General features: G+C 53.5%; 2 protein-coding genes and 1 non-coding gene across 9 annotated transcripts in view, besides 8 other annotated features; 2 read left to right on the top strand and 1 right to left on the bottom strand.

Annotated features, from left to right (window-relative positions):
• Positions 1,298-1,884: an enhancer, noted in NCBI's record as "H3K27ac-H3K4me1 hESC enhancer chr16:68271995-68272581 (GRCh37/hg19 assembly coordinates)". NCBI's record gives its function as "activates a minimal SCP1, AML or CMV promoter by ChIP-STARR-seq in primed H9 embryonic stem cells {active_cell/tissue: H9 hESC(primed)}" and the evidence as "EXISTENCE:reporter gene assay evidence [ECO:0000049][PMID:30033119]".
• Positions 1,885-2,473: an enhancer, noted in NCBI's record as "H3K27ac-H3K4me1 hESC enhancer chr16:68271406-68271994 (GRCh37/hg19 assembly coordinates)". NCBI's record gives its function as "activates a minimal SCP1, AML or CMV promoter by ChIP-STARR-seq in primed H9 embryonic stem cells {active_cell/tissue: H9 hESC(primed)}" and the evidence as "EXISTENCE:reporter gene assay evidence [ECO:0000049][PMID:30033119]".
• Positions 2,142-2,241: a silencer, noted in NCBI's record as "silent region_7643". NCBI's record gives its function as "represses an Ori minimal core promoter by ATAC-STARR-seq in GM12878 lymphoblastoid cells {active_cell/tissue: GM12878}" and the evidence as "EXISTENCE:reporter gene assay evidence [ECO:0000049][PMID:35858748]".
• Positions 2,272-2,361: a silencer, noted in NCBI's record as "silent region_7642". NCBI's record gives its function as "represses an Ori minimal core promoter by ATAC-STARR-seq in GM12878 lymphoblastoid cells {active_cell/tissue: GM12878}" and the evidence as "EXISTENCE:reporter gene assay evidence [ECO:0000049][PMID:35858748]".
• Positions 2,474-3,061: an enhancer, noted in NCBI's record as "H3K27ac-H3K4me1 hESC enhancer chr16:68270818-68271405 (GRCh37/hg19 assembly coordinates)". NCBI's record gives its function as "activates a minimal SCP1, AML or CMV promoter by ChIP-STARR-seq in naive H9 embryonic stem cells {active_cell/tissue: H9 hESC(naive)}" and the evidence as "EXISTENCE:reporter gene assay evidence [ECO:0000049][PMID:30033119]".
• Positions 3,062-3,650: an enhancer, noted in NCBI's record as "H3K27ac-H3K4me1 hESC enhancer chr16:68270229-68270817 (GRCh37/hg19 assembly coordinates)". NCBI's record gives its function as "activates a minimal SCP1, AML or CMV promoter by ChIP-STARR-seq in naive H9 embryonic stem cells {active_cell/tissue: H9 hESC(naive)}" and the evidence as "EXISTENCE:reporter gene assay evidence [ECO:0000049][PMID:30033119]".
• Positions 3,672-3,901: a silencer, noted in NCBI's record as "silent region_7641". NCBI's record gives its function as "represses an Ori minimal core promoter by ATAC-STARR-seq in GM12878 lymphoblastoid cells {active_cell/tissue: GM12878}" and the evidence as "EXISTENCE:reporter gene assay evidence [ECO:0000049][PMID:35858748]".
• Positions 3,849-10,943, top strand: ESRP2 (epithelial splicing regulatory protein 2). Of its 5 annotated transcripts, none has more exons than XM_005256153.6 (15): positions 3,849-4,128; positions 4,214-4,342; positions 5,869-5,982; positions 6,094-6,208; positions 6,551-6,649; positions 7,161-7,215; positions 7,292-7,399; positions 7,473-7,605; positions 7,688-7,730; positions 7,873-8,174; positions 8,282-8,494; positions 8,600-8,798; positions 8,949-9,135; positions 9,422-9,587; positions 9,661-10,943. In XM_005256153.6, the coding sequence occupies exons 1-15, from the start codon at positions 3,931-3,933 to the stop codon at positions 9,748-9,750; spliced, it is 2,151 nt and encodes a 716-aa protein (XP_005256210.1). In that variant the 5' UTR covers positions 3,849-3,930; the 3' UTR covers positions 9,751-10,943. The 5 variants fall into 5 exon arrangements, with proteins under 5 accessions (XP_005256210.1, NP_079215.2, NP_001352193.1 ...); NM_024939.3 differs by having other exon boundaries at positions 7,289-7,399; NM_001365264.1 differs by having other exon boundaries at positions 7,259-7,399.
• MIR6773 (microRNA 6773) lies at positions 6,477-6,550 on the top strand. The gene has a single exon (NR_106831.1). It is a non-coding gene; the product is annotated as a microRNA 6773 (primary transcript).
• The window catches only part of NFATC3 (nuclear factor of activated T cells 3), a 143,890-nt gene continuing 139,086 nt past the window's right edge, over positions 10,717-15,520 (bottom strand). For all 3 annotated transcript variants that reach the window (NM_004555.4, NM_173163.3, NM_173165.3), the window contains one exon: positions 10,717-13,626. Coding sequence is in view for 2 of the 3 variants with exons in the window: in NM_173165.3 (NP_775188.1) it covers positions 13,505-13,626 (122 nt within the window). In the remaining variant the exon portion in view is untranslated. The remainder of the gene's footprint in view (positions 13,627-15,520) is intronic.
• Positions 12,490-12,539: an enhancer, noted in NCBI's record as "active region_11008". NCBI's record gives its function as "activates an Ori minimal core promoter by ATAC-STARR-seq in GM12878 lymphoblastoid cells {active_cell/tissue: GM12878}" and the evidence as "EXISTENCE:reporter gene assay evidence [ECO:0000049][PMID:35858748]".

Here is a 15,520-nt window from a genome sequence, read left to right as displayed (position 1 = left end):
CGGTGATCCCCAGCGTCGAATCCTCTTCCACTGCGAGATCTTTCTTGGTAGCGAAGGGAAGGAGGGAGGGCGTTTTCGCACCACTCCTAGACGCCCTGGAGGTTCCAGGAGACCCGCCACGCTTCCCGCCTCCCACCCTGTATCTGCCCGGGCTTTCATGTCCCCGAGGCAACAGCGCCGGCTGCCTTTAGGAGTGCAGCCCAGGCAGGCCTGAGGGCCAAGGTGAGGGTAAAATTTCGCGAGTATGAGGCCCACGGAACCCAGTTCTTTCTTCCAAATATCTGGCACGCGGTTTTGAGAAAGGCGGCTGACCTCAGGCGGCCTGGGCCGTCGGGGCCTTGCTTACCTCTCTGCCGTACCAATCTCCTATTCATTAATTCATGAACCCCAGGGGAGCGAGGAGTGGGGTGGGGGTGGGGGACAATTTTTAGAGAAGTACAGAAATCTCAAACTACAGAAGGGACCCCTGCGGAAGGTAGAAAATCTGGAGGAAGGCCGGGAGCGGTGGCTCATGCCTGTAATCCCAACACTCTGGGAGGCCGAGGCGGGCGGATCACGAGGTCAGGAGTTCGAGACCAGCCTGTTCAATATGGGGAAATCCCATCTTTATTAAAAATACAAAAATTAACCCGGCATGGTGGCGCGCGCCTGTAGTCCCAGCTACTCGGGAGGCTGAGGCAGAGGCAGAGGCAGAGGAATCGCGTCAACCCAGGAGGCGGAGGTTGCAGTGAGCCGGGATCATGCCATTGCACTCCAGCCTGGGGGACAGAGCGAGACTCTGTCTCAAAAAAAAAAAAAAAAAAAAAAAAATTCTGGAGGAAGAGCTGGAGCCCTAGATAGAGAAGGGGTAGGGCTGGAGAGGAGGAAAGGGCACAGATGAGACCCTACTGCAAAGGCCTGTGTCTTACCATTGCTGAAATACCCTGTGGCAGAAGAAGCTAGCCTTAGACAACAGTTCATTCATTCAGTGACAGGCGTTGGGGGTAAGCCTCTATCTTCGAGGATAGGATGATGGAGCGGGGAGACAATACACGATTAATAAATCGTGTTATAAGTTGGTTAAGTTGGGGGGTTGGGGGGCAGAAAGAAGCAATGAGGGTCGGTTGGGGTCAGGAGTGTGGGTTGTTTAGTAATAATGGGGTCATCTGGAAGGACTCATCTGAAGATGAGTAAGGGATCTCAGCAAAACAGGACCCCACCCTCCTGCCCAGTATTTAAACGAATTTGGTTTTTAAAGAAGAATGCAAGGGTTGGAGCTGAGTGCACGGTAGCTCATGCCTATAATTCTAGCCCTTCGGGAGGCCGAGGTGGGCGGAGTTCGAGACCAGCCTGGTCAACATGGCGAGACCCCGTCTCTGCAAAAAATACAAAAATTAGCCAGGCGTGGTGGCTCACGCCCGTAATCCCAGCACTGGGAGACCGAGGCGGGTGGATCACCTGAGGTCAGGAGTTCGAGACCATCCAGCCTGATCAACATGGTGAAACCCCGTCTCTACTAAAAAAATACAGGCGTGGTGGTGCACGCCTGTAATCCCAGCTACTTGGGAGGCTGAGGCAGGAGAATCGCTTGAACCCAGGAGGCGGAGGTTGCAGTAAGCCGAGATCGCGCCATTGCACTCCAGTCTGGGCAACAAGAGCAAAACTCCGTCTCAAAGAAAAGAATAATAAAAATTAAAAAAATAAAATAAAATAAAAAGAATCTAAGTTGCAGGAGTTGTCTTGCTATGGGGGCAGCCGGATGGGCATCCGGGGTAGTTTAGGGGAGCCGCACTGTGCTACCAGCCCGTGCCTCAGGTTCACGACCCAGCGGCGACTTGGACACGCATAAGCGCGTCTTCCGTGGGAAAGCGCTCAGGACTGCCAGAGACGCCACAATGGAGCAGTCACCTCGCGAAGGTGGCTTCCGGGAAGAGCGGGCGTCGAGACTCAGGCTGAAGAGGAAAAAGGGCCTAGAGGCTGCACAGATGAGGTCGCCAGGAGGGGCGAGAAGGAGACCGAGTAGCGCCCAGACCTTCGGGCGGGGACGCTGTGACCCTGTGCTGTAAGAGTGGAACCCAGACAGGAGCCAAGGAGGAAGCGACGTGCTTCTGTGGAGCTTTAGGAATGCGGCGGTTAGGGCCACTGGTTTAGGGGAGTTGGCTGGAAGGGCGTGGCCGGAGGAAGGGCCGCCTCCACCAAGCGCAGGCGCCCTACCGGGCGGGAGGGGGAGGAGCGTTACTCGCGGTTGCGCCCCGCCCCGCGAACAAATATTTGACATTCCAGGCTTATCGGGAGGAGGGGCCCGAGGAGCAACGTTCTCCCTTCCCCCGCGCCTGATTCGCTTACCGCTTCCGGGGGAGGAGACGCATGGGCCAGTGCCCGGGTGGGCGGTCCGGAGATGGACAGCCGCGCACCAAGGCCCGCCTCCACCTGTAGGGAAAGTAAAGTGCTACTCGCTCGAACCCGCCGGGCGAAGGAAGCACTTCCCATGCTCTCCCTGTCGCCGTGTCCGGGCGCGAGTCATTTCCGTCCCGGGCGCCTGTTTCTTTAGCTGCCAAGTGGAGCTACGCTGAGCTCTCTCCCCCCGGGCCTCGCCCCTTTCCCGGGCATGAGCTCTGGTGATGCGCCCGGGTGCCCCGCTCTCTCCATTGTCCAGGGGCCGGGCCGCAGCACCCTCCTTGTCCGAAAGCGCGTGGTGCGGCTCCCGTCTCAGTCTCGAGTCGGGCTAGGCAACCGCGTGACTCAGTTCCCGCCACGCTGGAGCCCCCTCCTTCCTGCTGGATTATTCAGTTTCTCAGTCACTTATTCAGTTTCTCAGTCACCTCCCTGGGAGAGTTTGGGAAAGTAAGGAACGGCCGGGAAACGCGCCATAAAGGAGCCTCACCAAGCTCCACTGGGCAAAGGGAGGAATGGGAGCCCCAAATGCGGGGCTGTCAATTGGGTTGTAGGTGCGGGATGGAAAAGGGAGGATCTGCAGCCCGCATGCGCGCACACACGCTCAACGCTAGCCCCCCATCGGCCAGAGCGCTCGCAATCTCCAGGCAGCTTCTCCACCGTCCAGAAAGGGACGAAAGCAGGCAGGCCCCCACACGTGGGGTAGGAGTGAGGCTCCAGGCCCGTTCTACCCCTCTCAGCCTCGTCTAGGGTGCAGCTCTCTGCGATTTGGGGGGTTCCTTTCCCCAGCATTGAGGCCTGCCCACTCCCAACCCACAACGACCGCGCTCTGGCACTTCTCAGTGCCAGGCTAGCGCTCGGCCCTAGCATCTGCGTGGACAAGCCCTTCCCTGTGATCCCTGGTGACCACCCCACAGCTCTAACAACGCTGATGTTCCCGCCGCCCTCCCCTTTCCCAGGTGACTTCTGGTGATCCCCCTACAGGGTGATACCCGGCAACTCTCACCGCCCCCTTGACCCTTTGACTTCCATCAACCCCAGACCTGCCGTGTTGACCCCCACAGCCCCTAGACTGCCTCCTGGTGACTTCCATACTGGAGAAGGCCTCTGTCTTGCACGCTCCTTTGCAGAGGCCTGACGACCCCTGGGGAAGAGTGGGGGGAGAGCGGAAGAATGGGTTAGCCCCCAAAATCAGGCAGGACCAGCCCTGGAAGTAGGAATCCGGATCCTAAGCGTGCGCCCAGGCCGGGAGCGTGAGCTCTTGCGTCCTGGGTTGAGTTCTGGCGGCCCTCCCCCAAGGTTCCCGGAGCCGCCCCGGTCACGTGGCCGGCGGGGCCGGCAGGTAACTCGCCTGGAGAGGGCGTGGGCCGGTAGCCGCCCCGCCCCGCGGGGCGCCACGGGCGGGTCTTGGCAGCGCCCACTGAGCCAGCCGGGCCGCAGGTGCCGCCCCCGATACACGGTGTCCCGCCCAAGCTGATCCGCGTCTGCGGTCGGTCGGTGCGTGCGTGCGCCTCGTCGGTCCGCGTGTCTGGCCGAGAGCCCCCTTCCTCTGCGGCCATGACTCCGCCGCCGCCGCCGCCCCCTCCCCCGGGCCCTGACCCCGCGGCCGACCCCGCCGCGGACCCCTGCCCCTGGCCCGGATCACTGGTCGTCCTCTTCGGGGCTACGGCGGGTGCGCTGGGACGGGACCTGGGCTCGGACGAGACCGACTTAATCCTCCTAGTTTGGCAAGTGGTTGAGCCGCGGAGCCGCCAGGTAGGGTGGAAAAGAGGCGGTGAGGTCCCCAGGGAGCTTCCGGGGTCGAGGGGCGCGGCTGATCGGTTTCCCCCGCCGCTCACAGGTGGGGACGCTGCACAAATCGCTGGTTCGTGCCGAGGCGGCCGCACTGAGTACGCAGTGCCGCGAGGCGAGCGGCCTGAGCGCCGACAGCCTGGCGCGGGCAGAGCCGCTGGACAAGGTGCTGCAGCAGGTGAGCGCCGGGGTGGGTGGCGGCATGGCCTGGACGTGAGGACATTTCTGGGCGGGATTGGCGGCCGGAGGCTAGGCCTGGCGTGCCGCAACCAACCGGTCCAGGCGGCAGGACTGGGCTCTTGTTTGAAACTTTGAGCGACTCTCGCGTGTGCGTGCCCCTTTCATCCGCGCGTGCCAGCCATTCCCCTGGGCTCCTTACTTTTCAACCATTGCAGGAACCTACTCCTACCGAAGGGATCGGGACGCAGGCTTTGGGATCCATCCCCAGTTCCCGCCCGGGGAGCGAGGCCGAGACGCCTTTGGGAGACCTGCTGGGTCAGGTCTCCCTGAGCCGCAGCCGGAAGCGAAAGGGGTCGAGGGGCCCATATAGGTCACCTGTCCTTGCGGCCCGCGTCTTCGGCCTGCTTGGGAGCTGCTGGAGCGGAGGCGTAGGGCGGTGTCGGCCCTAGAGGTAGACGCCGCCAGGTGTAAACTGCTCGTCTAGGCCTGTCCCGGCCGGCTGGCCAGGCGTGGGCGCTGTCCCGGCCTGGCCTGGGGGACTATCTGCCTGCTGAGTGCAAAGGCCTGGGGTGCCTCCTGCCCTAGCTGAAGTGGGAGGTGGTTTCCATTGCTGTTTTCTTTTCCTTATCTTCACTACGGCGCTCATTCTATGTCTGACTCTTGAGTGTAATTAGTGTAAGTCCTTTTTATACACTCACGTTCTTTCATCTTCCAACAACTCTTGTGGTTCCTGATGAGGAGGCACCACGATGATGATTCCTTGTCTGTTCCAGAAGGGCTCCCGGCCCTTCACTTGGGGAGTTTGCTGGAGGAGAGCTGGGTTGCCTTGCTCTGTCAGCCCCAAGTTGTAAAGTGTCACAGAATTGGCAGGGAGGGTTCGTGGGTCACTGATTAGTGTTTATACTTCTCCAGCAAGGATGGAGGCTGGGGGAGGGCTGGGCAGCCTCAGGAGTGCCACCCCCTCTATGAGCAAACAGCTCAGTGCCAGCCGGTCAATAGGATGTGGGTCAAAGCTCATGCTGCCCCTGATGTCCAAGTGTGGAGCTCTGTCCTTGGAGTTTCTCTGCCCCTCGGTTGGTCAGACCTGGAGGCGGGGCTGCCATTGACCATGAGCCTTCTGGGCCTCAGGCAGGCCTGGGCCTCCCCCACCTGTCTGAGGGTGGTACCCGGTCAAAGACAGGTTTAACCTGCTTTGCCCCGCCCCTTCCCACCTGCTTGTCCCACTCCAGGTGTTTGCTCTGGCCCCACTCCAAACTCCTGGAGTGTGTGTGTTGAGGGCTTCGGTTATATGTGATTGCCCTCATTTGGCCTGGAGGAGGTGACAGTGGACTGGAACAGGGTTGGGGGGTGAGGGGAAGGGACATAGGGCTAGGCTCAACAGGCGTGGCCTCTTATTCCCAGGCAGGATAGGGCTGAACATCTGGCTGAACCAGCTTTGCAGCCTGCCTCCTTCCTCCTACCCTCACTTCCTGCCTGCCCAGCTGTGAATCTGTGTGTTTCTCTCTCCCCATTCCCTATCCCCAGTTCTCACAGCTGGTGAACGGGGATGTGGCTTTGCTGGGCGGGGGCCCCTACATGCTCTGCACTGATGGGCAGCAGCTATTGCGACAGGTCCTGCACCCCGAGGCCTCCAGGAAGGTATGCTCCTGAAGGAAAACCGGGTGGGGTGGGGTGGTCAGTAAGGTTCCCAGAACCCCTCTTGTCCTGAGGGTGGGCAGGGCGCTCATCCTCAATCCTATGTGCCCCCAGAACCTGGTGCTCCCCGACATGTTCTTCTCCTTCTATGACCTCCGAAGAGAATTCCATATGCAGCATCCAAGCACCTGCCCTGCCAGGGACCTCACTGTGGCCACCATGGCACAGGGTATCTGTGACCCAGCAGGGTTAGGGTGGAGAAGCCACTGTGGGTACATGTGTCTGAGTATGTGCATGCTGTGGGTGGGTAATATGGACACATACAAGACTGCGTTATCTGCTAAGTCCCTGAGTGTACTGTGTCTTCGTGTCTGTGCTAGGATGAGTTTGGAATGTGGGTATGTGTCTGTCTATGTCTGGACTGGGAATCTGTATGTGCACACATGAACTGGGCCAAAACAAATGTGTATGCTGGTCTCCAGCATGTGTCTATGGAGGGGAGTTGGGCCCAGGAGTAAACAGGATTAGTGCTTATGCTAAGATGTCTTCACTGTCACTTCTCTGCCCATAGGTTTAGGACTGGAGACAGATGCCACAGAGGATGACTTTGGGGTCTGGGAAGTCAAGACAATGGTAGCTGTTATCCTCCATCTACTCAAAGAGCCCAGCAGTAAGGTTTCCCTCACTGCCTGTCACCTGTTCTCAGGGATGACAAATGCCTATTGCTCCTCCCCACTGTGACCTTCTCTAAGAGACCACGGGGGAATCCTCTTTGTCATTTCTTTTTTTTTTTTTTTTTTGAGACAGTCTCCCTCTGTAGCCTAGGCTAGAGTGCAGTGGCACAATCTCAGCTCACTGCAACCTCCACTTTCCGGGTTCAAGCGATTCTCCTGTCTAAGCCTCCAGAGTAGCTGGGATTATAGGCGCCTGCCACCATGCCCACCTAATTTTTGTATTTTTAGTAGAGATGGGGTTTCACCATGTTGGCCAGGCTGGTCTGGAACTCCTGACCTCAAATGATCCACCCACCTTGGCCTCCCAAAGTGCTGGGATTATAGGCGTGAGCCACTGTGCTCGGCCTGTCATTTCTTCATCTCTCTCAATTGTCCACTTTTTGCAGAACTTGGTGGGGACACCCCTCTCCACCAGACCCTGCTGACCCCCAGGCCATCTTTTCTCAGGTCAATTGTTTTCGAAGCCCGAGGTGATAAAGCAGAAATACGAGACGGGGCCTTGGTGAGTGTGGGAGCAGGGGCTGGGGGTGACAACAGCTGAATAGCTCTGACAGCACTGTGCCCTGCCCCTACAGCAGCAAGGCTGATGTGGTGGACAGTGAGACTGTGGTACGGGCTCGTGGGTTGCCGTGGCAGTCATCAGACCAGGACGTGGCTCGCTTCTTCAAAGGGCTCAACGTGGCCAGGTGGGTGTGGCAGGGTGGGTGGGCCCAATTGGACAGGCCTACCCAGGAGGCACTAACAGCACTGGCTCCACAGGGGTGGTGTAGCACTCTGCCTCAACGCCCAGGGCCGCAGAAATGGCGAGGCCCTCATCCGCTTTGTGGACAGCGAGCAGCGGGACCTAGCGCTGCAGAGACACAAGCACCACATGGGCGTCCGCTATATTGAGGTGGGGCTTTGGGCTGGGAGCGGAGCAGGGCCAATCTGAGTCAGGCCTGAGACCCATGGGCTGCTGCTCTCTGTACCCACAGGTGTATAAAGCGACAGGGGAGGAGTTTGTAAAGATTGCAGGGGGTGAGTATACTGCAAACAGGGCCTGGCTCCCCTGGTTCTTGATCCATTTCACTTCCCCACCACCCCTTGCCTGCCTGCTCCCCTGCATGGGTGAGTGTCTGGAGGAGCATGAGTGAAGTCAGCAGGCGACTCTCATACACAGGCACATCACTAGAGGTGGCTCGTTTCTTGTCACGGGAAGACCAAGTGATCCTGCGGCTGCGGGGACTGCCCTTCTCGGCTGGGCCAACGGACGTGCTTGGCTTCCTGGGGCCAGAGTGCCCAGTGACTGGGGGTACCGAGGGGCTGCTCTTTGTGCGCCATCCTGATGGCCGGCCGACTGGTGATGCCTTCGCCCTCTTTGCTTGTGAGGAGCTGGCACAGGCTGCACTGCGCAGGCACAAGGGCATGCTGGGTAAGCGATACATTGAACTCTTCCGGAGCACTGCAGCCGAAGTGCAGCAGGTGAGCGCCCAGGGCTCCCCACCCCCAGATGTACTGTTACTCCAGGGCGGCCCTCTGTGTCCCTGCCCTACTTGGCATGACCAGCCTGTTGCTGCCTTCCTTACTAGGTCTTGAACCGCTATGCATCCGGCCCACTCCTTCCTACACTGACTGCCCCACTGCTGCCCATCCCCTTCCCACTGGCACCTGGGACTGGGAGGGACTGTGTACGCCTCCGAGGCCTGCCCTACACGGCCACCATTGAAGACATCCTGAGCTTTCTGGGGGAGGCAGCAGCTGACATTCGGCCCCACGGTGTACACATGGTGCTCAACCAGCAGGTGAAGCCACTGCTTGGTAGGGGGAACACATAAATAGGAAGGGGTGTGTGTTAGGGGTAAGGCACTCTTACACATGACAAACTGCTCACAAGATGGTGTGCACAGGGCCGGCCATCGGGCGATGCCTTCATTCAGATGACATCAGCAGAGCGAGCCCTAGCTGCTGCTCAGCGTTGCCATAAGAAGGTGATGAAGGAGCGCTACGTGGAGGTGGTCCCCTGTTCCACAGAGGAGATGAGCCGAGTGCTGATGGGGGGCACCTTGGGCCGCAGTGGCATGTCCCCTCCACCCTGCAAGCTGCCCTGTGAGTGCCCTAGGGGCTAGGGGAGGAGGAGGCCTGTGGTAGCCAGGCTGTTGTAAGCCCCTACCTTCTATAGCGGGGACTCCTTTCTGGCTACCCCACCCAGGGCAGTGCTGGGCTCCGTGCACATGCACTTTCTACTTCCGTCTCTAGGCCTCTCACCACCTACCTACACCACCTTCCAAGCCACCCCAACGCTCATTCCCACGGAGACGGCAGCTCTATACCCCTCTTCAGCACTGCTCCCAGCTGCCAGGGTGCCTGCTGCCCCCACCCCTGTTGCCTACTATCCAGGGCCAGCCACTCAACTCTACCTGAACTACACAGCCTACTACCCAAGGTACCCTGCAGCTAAGAGAATATCACAGTCCCACTCCCTGTCCCAATCTGGGGAAAGGTCACGATCCCCTTTCTGGACCAGATAACTCCTCCCTTGAGATGACAAGGGAGTAAGGTGGCAGCTGGCTAATGCCATCTACAAAACAGATCGAAAATGACTCTGTAGAGGCTGGGGCTTCAGGGAGGAACTGAATTAAGCACAAGGCAGAAACAAGGGAGGAGGGAAACAGGTCTCGGTCTAGGCCACAGGTGGCATGCATGACTAAACCTTGTCTCTCCCACCCTAGCCCCCCAGTCTCCCCCACCACTGTGGGCTACCTCACTACACCCACTGCTGCCCTGGCCTCTGCTCCCACCTCAGTGTTGTCCCAGTCAGGAGCCTTGGTCCGCATGCAGGGTGTCCCATACACGGCTGGTATGAAGGATCTGCTCAGCGTCTTCCAGGCCTACCAGGTGAGATTGTGTGGCCGGAGGGCCTGGCGGGTCTGGCTGAGCTCTCTGCCCTAAATCTGTGTCCCTTCTGTAGCTACCCGCTGATGACTACACCAGTCTGATGCCTGTTGGTGACCCACCTCGCACTGTGTTACAAGCCCCCAAGGAATGGGTGTGTTTGTAGGAGAGAAAGCCAGGAGGTAAGAGCCAGCTGATATCCTCGGCGAACATGTCTCTCCTGAGTCCAGAAGACCAGCACCCTCAACCTGGTAGCTTCTTTCTGGCTTGTCAAAGCTCTCAGAAGGTACCTAGAGGAGCCCAAGCCCCAGCTCCATCCTCCACTTATTCTGCCTGTTTCCCCCAAAGACAATGGCTGGACCCTGCATGCAGGGCTGGGGGTGGAATGGGGCTAACCAGCTCCTGATGGCCTGAGCCAGGCATCTTGACTGGCACCTGGAGAGCCCTTAAGTCTGTCCTGGCTGTGGCCCATGCCGACAGATATCGTGGGGCTGACAGGTCCACGGCAGGCTTGCTTTCTTTTATAAAATGGAAGCTCTGGTACCTTCAATGTATGACTCCTGGGAGAATCAAGGGTCCATCTGAGCCTCTGAGTAAAGATCCCAATGTTCTACCTCTCCCTGTCCCTCTTGTAGGGGATAGGGAGGCAGAGAGAGCCAGCCCCTACCCTCAGAGTATCTGGACCTCAGAGACCATGTTGTGCCAGGGGTGGTCCCACCTAAAGATGCTAGCCCCTCTCCAGGTGGGCATAAGGAGTAACAGATGGCAAAACCACAAACTATTTTGATGGACTGTGCTGCAGTATCACCAGAAGACATTAGGGGGCAGTAGGCCCCCACACAAAACCTTCAGGCTTGAATTTTAAAGGGGAGGACTTTCTGCCAACTTTTCTTGTATGCCTTGGGAAAGCCAGTTGCCCTGAACCCAGCAGACACCATGGAATGTCCTTTGCACGCATTAAATGGTACAGAACTGAAGCCTCGGAAGCAATTTGGAACTCGATCTTCTCTTCCTTAAATGAAAAGTTATTGACCAAATGGACTTTTTAAAAGACACAGGACCCTTAACTTTGCCCCAAAGTGAGGGGCTCCACACCAACCCCAGGCGGAGGAACACTCAGACAGATTAAGGATACTGTTGACCTGTCACTGTTTATTATTTCAGCACTAAAACTGAGGAGCCTCAACTGCTGGCTCTTCTTCCCTTTGTATTTGTGTAAGGAGCACTGCACTCCCATAAAAGGTTTTAAAATACAAAATGTACAAGAACACACAATTCCAAGTGCTGTAAACATAACTGAGAACCAGTTCCTTTACTAAACATCCATTTTATAAAACACAAGGTTTCAATTTGAGCCCATCTGAGCCTTAAAGATCCATTCTGAATACCAAAAACAGGGCTTCACAGCCAGGCCCAGAAGAGGTCTGGTGATAATGGCTGGCCCTGGGTGGGGATAGTTTACACCCGGGCAGCAGCACCACACATGAACCCAAAGACATGTTCTTTTTAAAGCTGTTTTCAGCCATGTTTCTCTGTGCATCTCCAGTAAGCAGAAGGCTACCCATTCCATTCCTCAACCCAAGAGCTAGCACAGTTAGAGTAGGAGGGGGTGCGTACTAGCACGTGCCCAGTTGCTCAGTGCTGCTAGTAGAAATTGATTTGCATAGTCCAATGGATGTGTGCTTTAACACCACTATGTTGCACAAAAATTTAAGTCTTTATCTACAAAGCCAAAAAATATTGACTCTTAACACCAAAGCTTTTACAAAGCTGATATAAAACTGCTTACATAGTATACAAAGCTCTATTTTAAAATTTAATGTTTATTTTAAATAGGAAAGCATTTCTAGTGCTACAGGCATCAAGGTATTTAGAAGGCATCAAAATTTGGTGCATAGCAACTCTGGATCATAGAGGCTTTTAATTCTTGAGGGCACAAAGGGTATTGCAAGGGGAACTCTTGCAATAACCTCATGTGAGGCAGCTACACCAGGGGCAAAAGGGTAGGGGCAAGTCTGGCCATTTCTCTGGAATGTCAACCGAGAGGCCAACTTCTTGCCCCTCCAAAGGAAGCTGTGGGCGTCCAACCACAGGCCCAGAAGCAAATCTCACTATCCACATTCTGTGACACAACTCACTTTTCAAGAAAATTTGAAAACACCCAGCTCCAAGAGGGGCCACAGTGATCTGCTGAAGAATAGACCTTTTTCTCTAACTAACTTTAGGGGAGAAATCTAAAATATATTTTGTTTTTTTTAAAGACCATACTTCCTCATCCTGAGTCAACAGCTCCTAACCTACTGACAACAGGTGGTGGGCAATAGGCCAGCTCCCTTTCCCAGACCTGAACTGGCCTTAGTAGAGAGAGTCCTGGCATCAAGGGCCTGCAGTCTCCTGGAATAACAGCATCAGGCCTTCAACCAGCACACTGTCTCACATATAGGCACTCAAAAAATCTGCTTCCTGAATCAATGGAAGTATATTATTTCATTTGAAAGCATACTGCAAACTTCAGAGGCTCTGTAATGGGCCCAGGAACAGGTAAAAAAAATCCCATTAGGGAGAGGGGTAAGGGCAGGTTTTTTTTTTTTTTAAAGTACCCAACTCGGGTACCTCCTTTGGTAGACAGCAGGCTGCAGTTTCTGCTGGGCCCTGCCTTGGACACCAGTCTCACCAGCAGCAGCACCAGGGTGTCTTTGGTGTGGAGGGTCAGGTTATCACTTCTGGATGTGCTCAGAGCCTTCTGGGGAAAAGGCTGGTTTTTAGATCATACAGACAGGACAGGGTAGGCCAGAATCATTTCAGGCTATAAATAGAATGGCAGATAAGCCTTCCATGCCAGTGTGACTCTTAAAACCTTCCCATCTGGAGTCCTGTATTTTCTCTGCCCATGCTGATGTACTGCTCATTTGTGCTTTAGCTCTGCACACAGCCTGGCCTCTAGCTAGAGTTAGAACTGCAAAGCTGCCTAAACCACTGAGACTGGCTTCAAAGGTCACAGAACAGCCAAAGGCAGATGCTTCTGTTTGGAAAAGGTTCTACGACCAGATGACACAAACAGGAAGCGCACTCCACAGCCTACTAGTTTTTATGATGGCAAGAAATGAAAGTGACCAAGCTAGAACCCCACCATTCAGAGTCACCTTAAATGTAGCCATCTTACCCAGGGTCCTGAGGGAAAAAGCAATTTCAACATGGAGCCAGTATGGAGAGATTGCAAGATTACCTAGAAAGTTACCAAAAGGCTATGCTCTGGAATGTCTTTTTATATTCCAACACTTCAATGATGGAATGGTCTCTTCTCATTTTATCTAACAACAGTTTAGTTTTATAAAGAGGTATGAGCTACATTTGGCTTTATTTCCTATAAATCTATGAACGTCTTCAGGACACATGCTGACTTTCTGAGGCATAGGTGTGGGCTTGGGATATTTTTTTCTTTTTCTTTTTTTCTTTTCTTTTTTTTTCTTTTTTTTTTTTTTTTTTTTTTTTTTGCTTCTAGAAGGTCTTATCAAAAGTTCCTATTTTAAAAATTATCATAAAAACTAAAGGGCCCTTCAAATGACCATAAAGCAGTACAAATCACCAATCCTAGCTAAGTAACCAGGTCACCTGCAAAAGCAGCACCTCGGAAACAAGAGAGCCTGCTGCATTCACACTCAAAGCACCCATCATATAAAAGTATCCTAGTTAAATATAAAAAGCAAAGTTCATTTCCCCAAAGCTCAAACAGCCTATGCTGCTCCTGTTCTTTTGCCAAATCTACCCAAGGCCTGAGGTGGAGGAATGCTACTTTCCCCACAAATGGTGGGTCCCACTCCTGGCCCCAGACCTGAAGGCTGCAGAGTTGGAAACCCAAGGTCCAAGGAGAGAAACATGCTGAGAAGTTGGTGGTGGACACAAGGCTGCAGTAAGCACTGTTAGAGCCCATCAGATCTTCCTAAATCCAGGGACTCAGGACTCGGGAGGGGAGCCTGCCTGCTCACCCCTGCTCCTTGGGAAACAGAAATCTGGGACATGTCTCTCCCAATTATCTCGTTCACTGAAAAACAAGAAAAGGGAGAGTGATTAGTGACCTCTGAGTGATTAGCCATATGATGCCCAACGCTGAGCTCTACCTCAGACATTTCCCTTCCCATGGCTTTCTGTAAAGATAAAGGCAGTGTCTGAAGCCTGCTCCTGAGCTGAGTGGCATTAGAGATGGAAACATCGCTCCACAAACTACTCTGGACCTCTTTTTCTCTCTCATTCAGTTCATTTTGGGTTGGGAAGGGGGCTTACCCTCACTCTAAAGGTATGTTTAAATAAGTATTCACCTTACTCTAACTTTTCTTTAATTCATATCTCTTTGAGAAAGTTTTTATTTTCTACAATGCCACCTCCTATGTAAATGGAATGAAAATAAATGCTTTGGTCAGAATAAACCACTGTGATGTGGGGGTGATTTTGCTACTGTATCCTAATACAAGCACTCTTTATTATGTGGGGGCATTTCTGTTGTTTGTGATCTTTTCTGATTGGAGGCTCTAGCTTTTCTGTTAATTTCTCTGATGTCCTAAGCATCTCAGGGAGGTACAGTGCTCTGTGAGGTCCAGAGCAAAGAATTTCCATCTTACAGAACTAACATAGAAGGGAACATCCCAAATCCCCCAAATAAGAACCTTTAGTTCTCACATCATTTCATTCCTTGCCTTATCAACTAAAGAGTCTATGCTAATTCCACTCCTAGGCATATTTACAAGAGAAGTGAAAACATATGTCCACATGAAAAACTTTCAAATGTTCACAGCAGCATTATTAATAATAGCCAAAAAGTGGAAACAATCCAAATGTCTACCAAGTGATGAATGGATAAACGTAAGTTGTCTCTATCCATAAAATGGAATATACAGCCTTGAGATGTAATGAAGTTCTGATACATGCTACAACATGGATGAGCCTTGAAAACAGTCTGCTAAGTGAAATAGGCCAGACAATAAAAGGTCATATATGATTCCATTTATATGAAATGTCCAGAACAGGCCAATCCATAGAGACAGAAAATAGATTACAGGTTGTAGAGAGGGAGAAACAGGGAGGAATTACTAATGAGTATGGAGTTTCTTTTCAGAGTAATGGAGTTATAAAATTAGATATTAGTAGCCAGGCGCAGTGGCTCATGCCTGTAATCTCAGCATTTTGGGAGGCTGAGGCAGGCGGATCACCTGAGGTCGGGAGTTTGAGACCAGCCTGACCAATATGGAGAAACACCATCTCTACTAAAAATACAAAATTAGCCAGGCATGGTGGCACATGCCTGTAATCCCAGCTACTCGGGAGGGTGAGGCAGGAGAATCACTTGAACCTGGGAGGCGGAGGTTGCGGTGAGCCGAGATTGCACCATGCACTCCAGCCTGGGAAACAAGAGTGAGACTCTGTCTCAAAAAATCAATCAATCAATCAATCAATATAAAAATAGATACTAGTAATAGTTGCAAAACTCTGACTATACTAAAAACCACTGAGTTGTATACTTTTAAGGATAAATTTTATGGTATGTGAATTATATCTCATTACAGCTGTTATAAACAAAAACAGACCAAAACAAAAAGATTTTAAAAATCTTCCAAGTATTAACATCTAATCTTTTTCTGGTTTACACAGTTCGGAACAAAAATTTCTCAAACTCATATGGCTATAAGGAGAAGGAACTAATATTTACTAATTCAGTTGCTTGAACCTGGAATGTGGAGGTTGCAGTGAGCCGAGATTGTGCCACTGCAGCCCAGCCAGGGAGACAGAGCAAGACTCCATCTCAAAAAAAAAAAAAAAAAAAAAAGCCAGGCGCGGTGGCTCATGCCTATAAACCCAGCACTCTGGGAGGCCAAGGCGGGTGGATCACAAGGTCAGGAGTTCAAGACCAGCCTGGCCAAGATGGTGAAAACCTGTCTCTACTA

The sequence above is a fragment of the Homo sapiens genome, chromosome 16 (genome assembly GCF_000001405.40).
Source record: "Homo sapiens chromosome 16, GRCh38.p14 Primary Assembly".
Lineage (NCBI taxonomy): Eukaryota > Metazoa > Chordata > Mammalia > Primates > Hominidae > Homo > Homo sapiens.
Note: the sequence above shows the minus strand (reverse complement) of the source record. Positions and strands in the feature narration are given on the sequence as shown.